Source organism: Homo sapiens, chromosome 3, assembly GCF_000001405.40.
Source record: "Homo sapiens chromosome 3, GRCh38.p14 Primary Assembly".
In the NCBI taxonomy this organism is placed as follows: domain Eukaryota; kingdom Metazoa; phylum Chordata; class Mammalia; order Primates; family Hominidae; genus Homo; species Homo sapiens.
Genome location: NC_000003.12, coordinates 157542378 through 157559956, shown reverse-complemented (window position 1 = coordinate 157559956; position 17579 = coordinate 157542378). Strand labels below are relative to the sequence as shown.

Here is a 17579-nt window from a genome sequence, read left to right as displayed (position 1 = left end):
TTGAAGCCAAAAGTTCAAGACCAGCCTGGCCAACATGGCGAAACACTGTCTCTATTAAAATTACAAAAATTAGCTGGGCTGGTGGCACATGCATGTAATCCCAGCTACTCAGGAGTCTGAGACACAAGAATCTCTTGAACCCAGGAGGCAGAGGTTGCAGTGAGCTGCGATCATGTCACTGCACTCCAGCCTGGCTGGGCAACAGAATGAGACTCTGACTCAAACAAAAAAAAAAAAAAGGCTAAACATATATATACTTACCTTATGATCTGGCAATTCCACTTGTAGGAATTTACCCAAAAGAAATAAAAACATACCAACCACAGATTTGTACACAGATGTTCATCAAAGCTTTATTCATAATTGCCAAAAATTGGAAACAACACAAATAGATAGCTGAGTAAAAAAATTGTGTCTTAGTCATACAATGGAATCTGTTTAGGATTAAAAAGGAATGGATTACTGATGTATCAACAAATTGGACAAATCTCACATACTGTGAAAGAAGCTAGCCTTCAAAAAGTAAGCACATACTTGATTTATAAATGTTTTAGTATAAGAAAAACTAATATATGGTGTGAGAAAAAAAGATCAGTGTTTGTCCGGCTAGGAGTTCAAGGTGGTAGTATGACTGAAAAGGAGCACAAAGAAACTTTTCAGGTGAATAGAAATGTTCTATATTTTGATTGAGGTGGTTGTTACATGAAATTGTATATATGTCAAAATTTATTGACATGCATTTAAATTGGGTGCATTTTAGTACATGAGAATCATTCCTAAGTAGATTTTTAAAAATTGAGGTAAAATTTACATAATGTAAAGTTAGCCATTTTAAAGTGTACAACTTACTGGTTTCCTGTACATTCATGACGATGGGCAACTATATTCTTTATCTAGTTCCAAAATATTTTCACCATCTAAAAGAAATTCCATGCCCATTAAGTAGTAATACCTAATTCCCCATCTTACTGCCCCTGGCAACCACCAATCTGTTTTCTATCTCTATGGATTTACTTATTCTGAATATTTCATATAAATAAAGTCATATACTATGGGACATTTTGTGTCTGGCTTCTTTCACTTAGCATAATGCTGATAAGGTTCATCTACATTGTAGCATGTATCAACACTTCATTCTTTTTTATAGCAGAATAATATCCCGTTGTATGCATACACAACAATTTGTTTATCCATCATCTGTTGCTGAACATTTAGGTTGTTTCCACCTTTTGGCTATGGTGAATAGTGTTGCTGTGGACATGTATGTACATAGATTTGTTTGAACACCTATTTTAAATTCTTTGGCATTTATATCCAGGAGTGGAATTGTTGGGTCATATGGTAAACCTACTTATTTTTATGAGGAACAATCAAAATGTTTTCCAAAGTCGCTAAACCATTTTTCATTTCCACCAGCCAAATAGTAGAGTTTCCAGTTTCCCCACATTTTTGTCCACACTTGCTACTTTCCATTTTTTAAAATTATAGTCTTCCTAGTGGATGTGAAATGCTATCTTATTGTGGTTTTGATTTGCATTTCCCTAATAACTAATGATGAATGATTTTGAATATCTTTTCAAGTGCTTATTGAACATTTGTATATTCTTTTAGAGAAATATCTATTCATGTCCTTTGGCCATTTAAAAATTGGGCTGTCTGTCTTTTTCTTTTTGAGTTGTAAGAGTTCTTTATGTAATATAGATACTAGACCCTTATGAGATATATGACTGGCAAATATTTTCTCCCATCTTATGAATTGTCTTCATTTTCTTGATAATATTCATTGATGCACAAAGGATTTTAATTTTTAGGAAGGTCAATTTATTTCATTTTTCTTTGGTTGCTGAAGTTTTTGGTGTCCTATCTAAAAATCCATTATTGAGCCCAAGGCCATAAAAACTTACCCCAATGTTTTCTTCTAAGAGTATTAAGGTTTCGCACTTACATGCAGGCCACCGATCCATCTTGAGTTAATTTTTGCATATGGTGTAAAGTAGGAGTCCAATTTCACTTTTGTGTGTGCATGTGTACTTATCCCAGAAACATTATTGAAGAGACCATTCTTTTCCTATTGAATAGTCTTGGCATCTTTGTCAAAAATCAATTAGCCATATATGTATTGGTTTATTTCCATTGATTTTTTATGTCTACTTTATACAGTACTACAGTGTTTTTATCACTGTAGCTTTATAGTTAAGTTTTGAAGTCAGAAATTATGAGTCCTCCAATTTTATTCTTCTTTTTCAATATTGTTTGGCATTTTGGAGCTCCTTGCAATTCTATATGGCTTTGAGGGTTAACTTTCTCATTTCTGTAAATTAAAAAAAGGCTGTTAAAATATTCATAAGAATTTCATTGAATTTATAGATCACTTTGGGTAGTATTGCATCTTAACAATATTAAGCATTTTAATTCATGAACATAGTCCTTTCATTTATTTAGTTCTTCTTTGATTTGTTTCAGCAATGTTTTGTAATTTTCAGTGTACAAGTCTTTTATTTCCATGGTTAAATTTATTCCTAGGTATTTTATTCTTTTGGAAGCTGTTGTAAATGGAATTATTTTCTTAATTTCCTTTTCAGATTGTTCATTGTTGTTGTGTAGAAACACACTGATTTTGGTGTTGATTTAGTACCCTAAGATTTTGGTAACTCATTTATTAGCTATAGTAGTTTTTTTTTATTTTCTATATACATAGGATCATGTCATCCGTAAAAAAAGATAGTTTGGATGTCTTCCTTTCTTTCCAATTTGGATGCCTTTTACTTCTTTTTCTTGCCTAATTGACCTAGCTAGATCTTCCAGTACAATTTTGAACAGTAGTGGTGAAATTGGATATCCTTGTCTTATTTCTGGTCTTAGAGGGAAAGTTCAGTCTTTCACCATTGAGCATTTTTCATAAATTCCCTTTATTATATTAAGTAAGTTCCCCAGTGTTTCTAGCTGTCTGGGTATCTTCATGATGAAAATGTTTTGGATTATGTAAAATGCATTTTTTAACATCAATTGAGATGATCATGTGGCATTTTTCCTTTGTTCTATTAACATGGTGTGTTACATTGATTAATTTTCAATGTAACATTACATTGAATTTTATGTTGACCCACCCTTGCATTCCTGCAATAAATCCCTCTTGGCCATGGTGTACAATCTTTTCAATATGCTGTTGAATTCAGATTGCTAGTATTTTGTTAATGACTTTTGTATCTATATTCAGAGGGGGCATTGATCCCTAGTTTTCTTTTCTTGTGGTTATCTTTGTCTGGCTCTGCTATCAGGTTAAAGTGGGTTTCATAGGATCAGTTAGTTCCCTCCTCTTCTATGTTTTGGAAAAAGTTTGAAAGGAACTGATGTCAATGCTCTTTAAATGCTTGGTAGAATTCACCATTGTGGCCATTTAATCCTGGACTTTTCTTTGTTGAAAAGAAAACAACTTTGATTACTAATTCAATCTCTTTAGTTGTTACAGATATGTTCAGAATTTTAATTTTTTCTGAGTCAGTTTTGGTAGATTCTGTGTTTTTAGCAATTTGTCCATTTCATCCAGCCTATTTAATTTGGTGGCCTACAATTGTCCACACTATTTTCTTGTAATCATTTTTATTTCTGTTAGGTAAGTAGAAATGTTCCCACTTTAATTTCTGATTTTATTTATTTGTATCTTCTCTTCTTTTTTTAGTTTGTTTAGCTAAAGATTTGTCACTTTGTTGAATTCTTCAAAGAATTATCTTTTGTTTTTATTTTGACCCTGTTGTTTTTCTATTCTCTGATAAAGTCATTTTCTAAAAAAATGGTATGAAGGGTACAGAGGACAGAAAAATTAATTTCCATTGACTTTTGGACATTTGTTACAAGAATTGGGATATAATTGTGTTATTAAATATCTTTTTCTTAAAAACAAACCAGTCTTATTCCAAAATTCTCATTCAGACACAAATATTCAGACAGTTTCAATCTTTCTAAACTCTTCTAAATTGTTTGCTAGTATAAAAGGAGAAAGCTCACACATCTCACACATCACACACAGCAATATCAATCCACCACAGCCAGTAAGTGCTAGTCTATGAAGCATGTTAGTAGGCTCTTGCGAATATTTCATATGTGCCATCCTGTTATTAGAAATTCAAGATGCAATTTAGGCATCAAAGGATATACTTATATTTAGGTCAGTTCAGCTTTCTGACCAGAATTCATCTACAAATTACACAGCCACCATGGTAGGGTGGCAAAACAGATTTTGTTATGGTTGTTGATAGTTTAGGTAACCCTTAAAAAATCTGCTGGCATTTAAAGTGCTAAATAGGTTTCTGTAAAAAGTTCTACAGCACTCCTTCCACAGTGATGTGCTATGACATTAGTATTTTCCCAGAAATTCTAAATAAAATCCAATCTTTGTAGATCGCAATCATTATACTGATGATCAAAGTCATTCATACACCAAAAAGGTAAATAGTACTCAACAGAAATTCTGTACTGACTCTCTCCCTTGCTTAAAAAACACACTTTCACAATTTCCTCAGACCATATAAGAGCAAACTTAACAGAAGTCACTGAATGAAAGACATTAAGACAAAGTTAGAAGTATCAGATAAAGAATTTTCATAGCACACACAAAAAAATTTTATACTCTGTTCTATACTGTTCAAATATCATATAGCATCCTACTTTCTATTCTTCTCACTGACTTCATGAGAGTCTTGAACTCATAATAGAGTACAGGTATGAGACCTGGTGATGTCTGATCACCATATACAAATTGCCAAGCGCACAGACATCAATGACAGACAATGTAGGTCAAGCATCATAAACATTTCTACTCCTGTGGTCAGTGTTGCTGGTCCTTGGGCTACAGTCTAGCATGAGGATCTCATCCAGAGAGATTTCCACTTTTCTTTATTCTAGGGCACCTCAGTACGTACCTCATCTCCATCAAACAAAGTTCCAGGCTACAGTATCTTGTTCTTGCAAGGAAGAGGCATTTTGTGGGATGGGGAGAAGGCTAATGGTCACTATTGATTGACACAGAAAAAAGAAAATTTTCCCACTTGCTTTTGCATTCTATTTACAAGGGAATTCTCTACCACAGCCTTGAAGATCACATACAGATAACAATAGGTCTGAGAGGGTCATCCATTGGCTTGTTGCTATAGGGTCTTATCTAAAGCCAGACAGTGGAGGGCTGCCTTGGGACCCACCTTGGGTAGGAGAGGAGCTTAGAAACTAGGATCTGAAATAAGGTCCTTCCTGACAACCCAGAAACAGGCACTGGTGGGGCCAGGAATCACAGGCCACCTTGCCAAGGCAGTACACCCAGTTCACACCTTACTCCTCCTGAACCTCTTCTGGTACTAGCTTCAATTTTGTATCCTTCTCTCCTAAGATCTATTTTGCAGGCAAATACCAGAGGGCTGTGGCCTAATATAGCTTGGAACTGGGTAATTTTCTGAGCTTTGGTTGTAAATTTAAAAAATTTATTGTCAATATCTAAAAACAAGGCAATTCCAAATATCAGTAGAAAATGTGGGCTTCTCTTAGAAATGGGAAGATCTGGCAACTGAGGTAGTTTTTCCACAACTGCAATGGGCTGGAGCTGAGAAGGAGCTTCACCTTCCCTGAGTGGAAAAAACACAAACTGACCTTCCTCTTCTGTCACACCAACAAACACAGAATTATGTGACCAAATGTGTGGTGTTTGTTTGTCCCCAGACACCAAACAAGCAAGAAAGCAATTCTGTGCAGACATCAGCTAGGTGTCCTCTAATTCAGTTCAATTCTGACACTGTCTACCTGGAAATAGTGTCAGATTCTACAAGTTGAAGGCTCAGTTCCCAAGACTGTCCCCTCCTTTCAGATGCCAATTGCAAGCTCCAGGTTGCTTTACATGTGCTTCTGACTTCCTCCTCAGAGTCCACTAATTTGCTAAAGTGGCTCACAGAACTCAGGGGAACATTTAACTTATGTTGACCAGTTTATTATAAAGAATATTGCAAAGGATACCCATATACACCACATAGAAGATATGCACAGGACAAGGTATGGAGAAAGGGGCACAGAACCTCTATGCCTTCTTGGGTGCAGCACCCTCCAGGAACTTCCATGTGTTCAATTACCTGGAAGTTCTCCAAACCCTGTTCTCTTGATCCTTTTACAGACACTTCACTGGACAGCGATAATTGACAACTGTATAGAAATGTAACTGGACAAAAAGTGCATAATCTAATACTAATAGACTGAATGGACAAACTCAGCAGGCCTTTTCTGTTCAGATTCTTCATGGCCTCTCTGTATACATTCCTTCCTTCAGGTATGGAGCAGGACCCCTTCTGAAATGAGGGTCTTATGACCCACAATCAGACAAGATAAGTCAAAGAATTTCTTTAAGATCAGCTCCTAGACAGAAAGGTAAGGGATAGAGTATATTTTTAGTTTGAAAAGCCTGCCTGGGGGAGAAAAAGAAGCAGGTGAAAGGCAAGCAGAAGAAGGTCAGAGAGAGAGATTCTATTTTCTGAAGCCAACTTCTGAGGCCTAAAGCACCCCAACATTATAACAAGGGCTATGGGAGTTATGAGGCAGAAACCATGAATAAAATCTAATGTGTATAATCACAATATCATACCTTCTAAGGCAGGTCAAGTGCTCTCCGGACGTATCAGTGCTTGAGTTTGCAGTGTTGACTCTATAGTTTCCCACGACTTTCATAGCTTCTACAGCATGAATGTAGAAGACTCTGTAAGGAAGACAGTATTTTCAAAATGGGAAGCATGGATCTCTGTGTCTTAGTAAACTGGCCCAGTATGAATCTCTGGTCTCCTATTCATCTTATTTACTCAAAATGTTTTTAAATCTTACCTTGCCCACTTGCTGAAGGAGCATATATATATATATATATATATATATATATATATATATATATATATATATATATATATATTTACTTTTTGCTCCTCACTTCATTAAAGCTATTTGTTAAACTGCTACAGATAACTTTTCTGTCTTGTTAATTTCTCTCCTTTCCTGAAAAGCCATCATACTGCCATATCTGAGATATCTGTGGTTGGCTTTCCCCATCTTAGTAGTACAACAGTTTCTTTCTCAGTGTCAGAACAAGGGGAAAAGCAGGCCCCAAGTCTTCCAAGTCAGATAATACTCTTGTTTCCATACTCCACTCTGCCCCTTCCTTATGATCTGGCATAAAACATCAACATGGCTCAGCAGAATTAATGGAGGGCATGGTTCTACTTTTAATAAGGCACCAAATAATACTTAACTGCCATAAGAAAATTATTTCTATAAAGATGTGAATGATAAAGCAACAAGGTTTAGAAGGCAAAGCATTAATTTGGGGATAGGACATAGATCTAGTTAAAATTTTGTCTCTGCCATTTTTTATCAAATGATTTTATTAAGTGAAATCCTGAGCATCAATTCCCGTATTTATGAGTGAAGAGTAAATGTGAGAACATATGTAAAGCAAACAATACTGTGCTTGGAAAACAGTAGGGACTTAATAAGATTAGTTCCTTGGATTACAAACTGGTGGCATAGAAGCAAGCTGACTTCATTCTCCACTACAGAAAACCAAAAAATATATATACAGCACTGAGATTATCACTAATAATATCCCAGAACTCAATTGTGAGTACTAGTCAGGTCCCAGAGCCACAGAGAAATGAAAAGAGCTCCATGCTGATGGTAAGACAATCAGATTTTCATGTCTGCAGCACCTCTTCCTGAAATCTGCCCAGCATCAAACACATAAAAACTCCCCCTGACTCATGGTTTCTACACTAGAAAAAGTGAAACTGAGGTTGACAAGCTTCTCTACCATCTTAAGTTCTCTGGTAGGAGGCCTGTCCCTGCCTCAACCCACAGGAAGCATCATGAGTGCCTGAAGGAAGAAATATCCTTAAGACAGCCAGAAACAATGGGAGAAGGTGGAACACCCACTCCCATCCGTGAAAACTGCTCTGTAACTCAGCCAAAAGAATGGCTGCTGAGCAGCACCGTGTTACAGCAGGTATGTTCCAAAGTTCCTCTGAGCATGAAACTCAGCCAGCCTTCCCACACTGTTTTGGGATATCCCTCTTGAGACCTGCCCCACTCAGGACACACAGTGGTCCAATCGTTTGTTAGAGCTGAGCAAAACTGGGATTTCAATATCATCTAGTATCAAAAAGGAGGCAGTGACCTAGCAGGGAAAAAATTAAGAAATTTAATAGGTAAATTACAAAGAATCTCCAAGCATCTATATCTAATAAAAACTAAAGCTAGAGAGAGAAGACTGGAATAAATAACTAATCTTTCAATGTGAACATATAGATGTACATCCACAAGAAAATCAACAATCAGGAAACCATGACCTCCTCAAATGGACAACGCAAGAAACCAGTGGCTAACCCTAACAAGACGGTGATATGTCAGCTCTCCAGTCAAGATTTCAAAACAGTAGTTTTAATGACATTCAGTGATCTCTAAAAAAAAACCACAGAAGAGAAATTTAGAAATTCCTCAGAGAAATTTAACAAAGAGATTGAAATAATAATTTTGAAAATCAGAATCTTGGAACTGAGAAATACATTTGCAAAACTGAAAAAATTCAGTAGAGGCTCTCAACAGCAAAATGGATACAGCAGAGGAAACAATCAGTGAATCAGTGATTTCAAAGGCAAGCTATTTGAAAATGCACAGTCAAAGGAGAAAAAAAGAAAAAAGAATGAATAGGAATGGAGATTACCTACGAGACATAGAAAGTTACTTCAAAAGGCCAAATCTAAGGATTATTGGTGTTCAAGAGGGTATTGAGCAAGAGCATGGGGCAGAAAGCTTATTTAAAGAAATAATAACAGAAAACTTCCTAAAACTCGAGAAAGATACAAATATTAAGATACAGGAAGGTCAGAGAATACCAGATTTGATCCAAGTAAGACTACCCCAAGGCATATAATAATCAAACTCTCAAAAGTCAAGGCAAAGGGAGAATCCTAAAAGCAGCAAGATAAAAGAAGAAATAACATATAAAAGAATTCCAATTAGTGTGGCAACAGACTTTTCAACAGAAACCATGCAGGATGGGAAAGAGTAGGACAATATTTTCAAAGTGCTGAAAGAAAATAACTGTCATCCAACAATATTATATCCAGCAAAGTTATCCTTCAAATATGAAGCAGAGATAAAGTTTTTCCCAGGTAAGTAAAAGCCAAAAGAATTCACCACCATCAGACTGTCTTACAGAAATGCTAAAGGGAGTTTTTTAATCTGAAATAAAAAATAATAACGTGCAAAAAAGAAAAACTTAAGGTAAAATTAAGTACAAAGACAACTCAAAAAAATCCAATACTGTAATTTCAATGTACAATCTGCTCTTACTTCTAGTATAAAGCCCAAAAGAGAAATCTATCAAAAATGAGAATAGCTAAAGCAACCTATTAAGAGATGGGTAACATTAAAACATGTCAACAAAGACAACAAAGTGTCAAAATGGGGAGGAGGGATGGAGTTAAAGTTTAGAGTTTTTTTTTTTTAGTTTTTTCTTTCTTTGTTTCTATTCTTCCCTTGTGATCTAAGATAAGTTGTCATTTTTTTAAATAATTCGTATTATCTAAAAGATGTTTTTTGTGTGCTTCATAGTAACCACAATGCAAAAACCTATCATAGATACACTAAAATAAAAAAAGCAATGAATTAAAACATACTACCAGAGAAAATATCTTAACCGCAAAAGGAAGACAGTAAGAAAGGAAAAGAGGAGTTACAAAACAACTAGAAAACAAGAAACAAAATGGCAGTAGTAAGTCCTCATCAATAATAACATGGATATAAATGGATTCAAGCCTCCAATTAAAAGACACAGAATAGCTGAATTGATAAAGAAACAAGACCAAACTACACGCTGCCAAAAGAAACCCACCTCACCTATAAAAATACATATATACTGAAAGTGAAGGGATGGAAAAAGATACACTAAAAAAGATCAAGAATAGCGATATTTATAACAGATAAAATAGACTACTAGTCAAAAACCGTAAAAAGAGATAAAGAAGGTCAATATATAATGATAAAGGGGTCAATTCAGCAAGAGGATATAACAACTATAAATATCTATGCACCCAACATCGGAGCACCCAAGTATATAAAGCAAACAGATCTACCAAGGGAGAGGTAGATTGCCACACAGTAGGCAATTAGTACTAGTAGGGGATTTCAACACTGCACTCAGTAGTGGACAGATCAACCAAACATAGAGCCAACAAAGAAACCTCAGAGTTAAACTACACTCAAGACCTAATAGACTTATTTGACATTCACAGAACACTTCACCCGTCAACTGCAGAACACATTCTTTCAATCAGCACAGGGAACATTCCCCAGAATATAATGTATCATAGGTCACAAAATGAGTCTCAAAAAATTCAAATAAGAAGAAATCATTTCAAGTATATTTTCTTGCCACAATGGAATAAAACTAGAAGTCAATAACAAGAGGAATCTCAGAAACTACACAAACACATAGAAATTAAACAGCATGCTTCTGAACAACCAATGGGTCAAGGAAGAAATTCAGAAGGAAATTTAAAAGTTTCTTGAAACAAATAAGAATGTAAATACAAACACCAAAATCTATGGAATATAGAAAAAGCAATACTAAAAAGGAAGTTTACATTAATAAACATCTACATTAAAAAAGTAAAAATACTTCAAATAATCAACTTTATGATGCACCTCAAGGAACTAGAAAAACAAGAACAAATCAAACCCAGAAATAGTAGTAGGAAAGAAATAACATAAATCAGAACAGACATAACTGAAGTTGATATTTTTAAAAGTACAAACAATGAAATGAAAGTTGGTTTTTTAAAAAGATAAGCAGAATTGACAAACTTTTAGCTAAACTAAATAAAAACACATAGGGAAGACCCAAATGAACAAATTCAGAAATTAAAAAAGATACCTAACAACTGAGACCACAAGGATAATTAGCGACTATTATGAACAACTATCCACCCACAAATTGGAAAACCTGGAAGAAATTGATAACTTTTTGAATGTATATAATCTAACAAGATTGAACCATAAAGAAATAGAAATCCCCAACAAACCAATAATGGGTAATGAGATCAAAACAATAACAAAAAGTCTCCAATTAAATAAAAGCCCAGGACATGATAATTTCACTGCTGAATTCTACCAAACATTGAAAGAATGAATACTGAATTCTCCTAAAACTCTTCAAAAAAACTGGAGAGGGGAGAGTACTTCAAACTCATTCTATGAGTCGAGAATTACCCTGATACCAAAACGAGACAAGGATACAACAAAAAAAGAAAACTACAGGCCAATATCACTGATGAACCCAGATGCAAAAATAAATAAATAAATAAAAATAAAAGCTCAACAAAATACCAGCAAACTGAATTCAACAACACATTAAAAAGATCACACATCATGATCAAGTGGGATTCATCTCAGGGGTGAAAGGATGGTTCAACATACAGAAGTCAACAAATGTAATACATCATATTAACAGAAAGAACCAAGAACAAAAACTATATGATCATTTCAATAGATGCCAAAAAAAGCATTCAATAAAATTCAACCTACTATGGTAAAAAGCCTCAACAAACTGGGTATAGAAGAAACATATCCCAAAATAATAAAGACCATATATGACAAACACAGAGCCAACATCATAGTGAATGGGGAAAAAGTGAAAGCCTTTTGTCTGAGATCTGGAACAAGACAAGGATGCCCACTTTCACCACTTTTATTCAATATAGTACTGGAAGTCCTACACAGAGCAATTCAGCAAGAGAAATAAGTGGCACCCAAATTGGAAAGAAAGAAGTCAAATTAGCCTTGTTTGCACACGACATGATCTCACATCTCGAAAAACCTAAAGACTACACCACAAAACTGTTAGAACTGATAAATGAATTAGCTAAAGTTGCAAATCCAAAATAAACATACAAAAATCAGTAGCATTTATATATGCCAATGCCAAGTAATCTGAAAATAATGTTTAAAAAAAATCCCATTTACAGTAGCTACAAAGAATATAAAATACCTAGGAATCAATTTAACCAAAGATGTGAAAGATCTATTTAAAAAACACATAAAACACTGATTAAATAAAGTGAAGAGGACAAACGCACAAAAAGAAAAGAGATTACATGCTCATGGATTGGAAGAATTCATATTGTTAAAATGAAACTATAAAACACTGATAAAGTGACGAAGACACACACACAAAAGAAAAGAGATTGCATGTTCATGGATTAGAAGAATTAATATTGTTAAAATGAAAATACTGCCCCAAGCAATTTACAGGTTCTATGCAATCTTTATCAAAATGCCAATAACATTCTTCACAGAAATAGAAAAAAAAACTTAAATTTATATGGAACCATAAAAGACCCCAAATAGCCAAAGCAATCCTGAGCAAGAGAACAAAGCTGGTGGCAACACACTACCTGACTTCAAAATATACTAAAAAGCTACAGTAACCAAATCAGCAAGATACTGGCATAAAAACAGACATACAAACCAATGAAACAGAATATAGAACTCAGATATAACTCCATACACTTACACCCAACTCATTTTTGACAAAGTTGCCAAGAACACACGATGGGGAAGTTCAGTCTGTTCAATAAATGGTGCTGGGAAAACTGGATAAACACACCCAGAAGAATGTAAATTAGTGCATTTCCACTACAGAAAACAGTATGGAGTTTCCTCAAAAAACTAAAAATAGAACTACTACATGATCCAGCAATTCCACTACTGGGTATATAACTAAAAGAAACGAAATCAATATATTGAAGAGATATATGTAGTCCAATGTTTACTGCAGTAGTAGTCACAGTAGCCAAAATATGAAATGAACCTAAGTGCCCATCAATAGATAAATGAATGAAGAAAATGCAGGCTGGGTGTGGTGGCATGCACCTGTAATCCCAGCACTTTGGAAGGCCCAGGTGGGAGGATTGCTTGAGCCCAGGAGTTTGAGACCAGCCTGGGCAACATAGTGAGACCCCATTTCTACAATTTTTTTTTAATTAGCTGGGTATGGTGGGCATGCACCTGTAGTCCCAGCTACTGAGGAGGCCGAGGTGGGAGGACCACTTGAGCCCAGGAGGTTGAGGCTGCAGTGAGCCATGATTGCACTACTGCACTCCAGCCTGACCCTATCTCAACAACAACAACAACAAAAACAACAACAAAAGTATGGTAACTATAGATAATGGAATAGTATTCCTCCATAAAGAAGAATGAAGTCCTGTCATTTGCAGCAACATGAATGGAACTAGAGGTCATTATGTAAAGAGAAATAAGCCAGGCACAGAAAGACAAATATTGCATGTATTCATTTATATATGGGAGCTAAAACAAGATCTCATGAAGACAGAGAGTAGATTGGTGGTTACCAGAGGCAAGGAAGGGTGGGGGAGAGGGAGAAGAAGGTTGATGAATGGGTATAAATAAATGGTTAGATAGAAGAAATAAGATATGATGTTCAATAGATCAGTAGGATGACTATAGTTAACATTAGTCTATTGTACATTTCAAAATAGCTAGAAAAGAGCAATTCAAATGTTAACACAAAGGCAAGATAAATATTTAAGGTGATAGATATCCCAATTATCCTAATTTGATTATATGAATGTATCAAATCTTAACATGTACCCCCAAAATATGTACATCTATTATGTAATAATAAAAAAATGAAAACATTTAAAAAACAACAAAAAAGACTGGTTCCTTCCCTATTTCTATATCCTACAGACAGCTGGAGCCAAACCTCAGAAATCCTAGCCTTCTCAGTGATATGGAGAGAACATCTGAGGAGTCTGCACAGGAAATGCTAGGAATTACATTAACTTCAATACACAACCCACATCAACAGCAAGGAAAGAAAACCATCAGCCTGGGGAACTCAAGAGTAAAATTCAATTTAAAAGACAGAGCCACTGCCACATGCAACATTGGTCCTTATACCTTGACCTCCTCTCTATGAATCCTGTATCTCCTGCCTAGAGCTTCTCACAAGGTGCTGCTTGGTCAAGCCCATCTCTCAACACCCATCACCTGTGCTGCTGCTATATAGTAAAGTTGTGTTCTTTGCTACTGATATTGGTCTACAGAGCAGCAGCATTAGCGTCACCTGGGAGCTTGTTAGCAATGCCCCAGTCCAGACCTACGGAGAATCAGAATCTGCATTTTAACAAGATTCCAGATGACTCTTATGTACATTAAAGTGTGAGAAGCTCTGCTATAGTTCACGTACTGTGTCATTTGGGGACTTTCTTGTTTATGTCAGTTGGGCTGTTTATTGAGCATGTTTTGTGTGCCAATAATTTTAGATACTTTGTATCTATATTCTCTAATATTCACAAAAGTAGAAATTATTATGAATAACTTATATATGCTTAAACTGCGACTCAGAGAGTTTGAGTCTTTCCCAAGCGGTCAAGAAGGGATCATAGTCTCTCAAGCAGTCATTTATATCTCAATTCTAGAGCCGAAGCTCTCAATAGGGTTTAGGAAGAAGAGTCTTCAAAATTGTGGTAATCTCTCTGAGAAACTCCATGAAATATATGATATGTAACTTTATCACACAAGTGAGGAGTATAAAAATCACAAACTAAGGCCAGGCGCGGTAGCTCACGCCTGTAATCCCAGCACTTTGGGAGGCTGAGGCAGGTGAATCACTTGAGGTCAGGAGTTCAAGACAAGCCTGGCCAACATGGTGAAATCCCATCTCTACTAAAAATACAAAAATTAGCCAGGCTGGTGGCATGCGCCTGTAATTCTAGCTACTCAGGAGGCTGAGGCAGGAGAATCGCTTGAACCTAGGAGGCAGAGGTTGCAGTGAGCTTAGATCACTCCACTGCACTCCAGCCTGGGCAACAGAGCAAGACTTTGTCTCAAAAAAAAAAAAAAATCATAAGCTGGAACATGAAAAAAATGTGAGTTACCACATCTCACAGCTGCTTCTGAATCTTGCCAAGTCATCTGCTCCTTGGTCACTCGTTTTGCCCTCTGTTCATACTCACAGGCCAATAAGTTGTAAGAAGCATCAACGCATTAAGAAATGTGTGTGAGGAAAACTTAAAAATAAGACAGCTTTGTTAACTTAATTTTTACCCCTGTAATTTGGAAGACAACCATGCCTGTCCCACTTTGGCAGTCAGATAACGCTAGGTGTAGCTCTTAGTATTGTGAAGCAGGGGTGTTTGAGAGCTATTGGCCTGGAAACTCTTCTTGAGCACTTTATGATGCAGAGAATCAGCCATGCAGCACTTTTGGTGCTGGAAACCTTCCCATCTAAATAGGCCAACACAAAATCACACACTTTCTGTACATCTCTGTCCCCTGAAAGTACCCACCACTGCCATCATATGCCATTAATGGCAACCAGGTGAGATGCCTCCTCTCTCAGCACATATAGATGTTAAGTACCTGCAGGCCAGGAATGAAATCTAAACCATGACACCTCTCCCTTGTCCATCTCCCACCTTTTTTCCTTATTTCCATGCATTGAATAAACCCCTATTCAATGAGGACTTATTTAATAAGATGACAATGTAATTTAATAATATGATTAGGCCAGGTGCAGTGGCTCACGCCCGTAATGCCAGCATGTTGGGAGGCCAAAGCGGGCAGATGACTTGAGGCCAGGAGTTCGAGACCAGCCTGGCCAACATGGTGGAACTGTCTCTACTAAAATTTAAAAATTAGCCGGTGTGGTGGTGCACACCTGTAATCCCAGCTACTTGGGAGGCTGAGGCAGGAGAATGGCTGGTAGCGGGAGGCAGAGGTTGCAGTGAGCCGAGATTGTGCCACTGAACTCCAGCCTGGGTGACAGAGTGAGACTCTGTCTCAAAATAATAATAATAATAATAATAATAATAATAATAAATAGCATTTATTGAGTGCCTGCAACGTGCTAGGCACTGTATGCGATATTTTCAGATTTGTCTTCAGTTCTCACAGAGATAGGGGAAAAGTCAGGCTTTGGTGGGGTTAAGTGACTTGCCCAAGATCATAAGGCCACGGAGGGGAGGGACTGGCAGTGGTATGCTCTTATGAGGTCACACAACATTGCACAGGCTCACTGGGCAAAGTAGCCTTTCTTCCCATCTCACCAAGCGCTCTACAAAGGAGAAAGAGCTCCAGGAGTCCTGCTGGCCTCAAGATAGTCTCATGTTTCTACGGCACGGTTCTCAAAGTTTGGTCCACTTGGGCCGGCACCCTGGGCCGGAGAAGCTGAATTTTCCACCACCCCATCTCTGCCCCCACCCCGCGCCGGTACTTTCAGACACTCATGAGCGAGATTCACAGTGGACTGGGGGTCATTCTGTACAAAGGTGGTCTTAGGTTTCCCATCAGAAAGAATATCGAGATTACCCATGCAAAATCCAGAGAGGCACAGGGGCAGTTTACTAACCTCAAGGAAATGTACCGCCGTGTTCGGGCCCAACCTCAGGCAATGAGAGGAAACTGAAGGAGAAACCCACAGCACGCACGCAGGAGGCTGCCCTGCGTTGGCCAGCAGCCGGCGCCTCCGAGAGATCAGGGAAGAAAAGCTGTTCAGCCTGAGCACGCGGGGCGGGGACCGGGTCCCTCAGCCTTCCCCTCCGCGACTGCCAGGGAAGGCACGCCCCACCCAGTCAGCTGCCAGGTTTGCGAGCACCACCTCCCAGGAAGCAGCCACTCCCGCTACCGCCCCTTCCCAGGTCGCGTTTAGATTGTCAGCTCCCGGACGTCCTGGCTCCACTGTCAGAACCCTGGGACACGACCTCCCCCACCCCGCCTCGTTTTTTTCCCCAGCCGACTGGGGATGGGGGTGGAGAGACTTTGGCCAACAGCTGCCTCCGCCTGGAGCAGGATTTAAGGTCCTGTCCAGCCTTGTCCCTTCTTTGAAAACCCCCAGATTCACACAGAAAAACCAATAAGCGCTCCACAGCCCCGCATGCTGCACGCATCTGCGGGCCGCGCCCAAGGCCAAAGCCCGCCAGTTTGCCCGTGTGCCACGCAGCAGCCGGCTTCTTCGCGCTTACCGCGCGGCCCACAGATGCGGAGAAGAGGGCAAGCCAGGGCAGAGGATGGCACGACAACGGGACCAAACAGTGACCCCTGCAGGTGACTGGACGATAACTTGGCCTAGGACCGGCCCCCCGCCACTGCAAGCTGCGTTCCCTCTGTGCTCACACCCTGCAGCAGTCAAAGCACTCCCACTCACACACGGGCTGCACACGCATAGTTGCAGTACACCGAACTCACACACACTACACGTAAACACGTAGTCGTATGCACAAGCTCACACAATCACATGTGCCCGCGCGCGCGCGCGCGCGCGCGCGCACACACACACACACACACACACACACACTTTGTACTGCATACAATAAAAAACTAGGCTTTCTGTTGTAGACTGAATAATGCCCTCCCCCTCTATCCCTAATCCCAAGATATCCAGGTACTATGCCTGGAACCTGTGAAGAGTTACCTTATATTCTAGGGAAGGAAAAAAGAAAAAGACTTTGCAGATGTGATTAAAGATTTGGGGATAGGAGATT

At 38.0% G+C, this 17579-nt stretch overlaps 1 pseudogene across 4 annotated transcripts in view; it reads right to left on the bottom strand.

The window, feature by feature from the left end:
- The window catches only part of SLC66A1LP (solute carrier family 66 member 1 like, pseudogene), a 57783-nt pseudogene extending 41138 nt beyond the window's left edge, over positions 1–16645 (bottom strand). For all 4 annotated transcript variants that reach the window (NR_166162.1, NR_166163.1, NR_166164.1 and 1 more), the window contains exons 1-2: positions 16448–16645; positions 6617–6727 (exon numbers count right to left, since the gene is read on the bottom strand). The product of NR_166162.1 is annotated as a solute carrier family 66 member 1 like, pseudogene, transcript variant 1 (transcript). The remainder of the gene's footprint in view (positions 1–6616; positions 6728–16447) is intronic.
- Between the last annotated feature and the right edge of the window lie 934 nt (positions 16646–17579).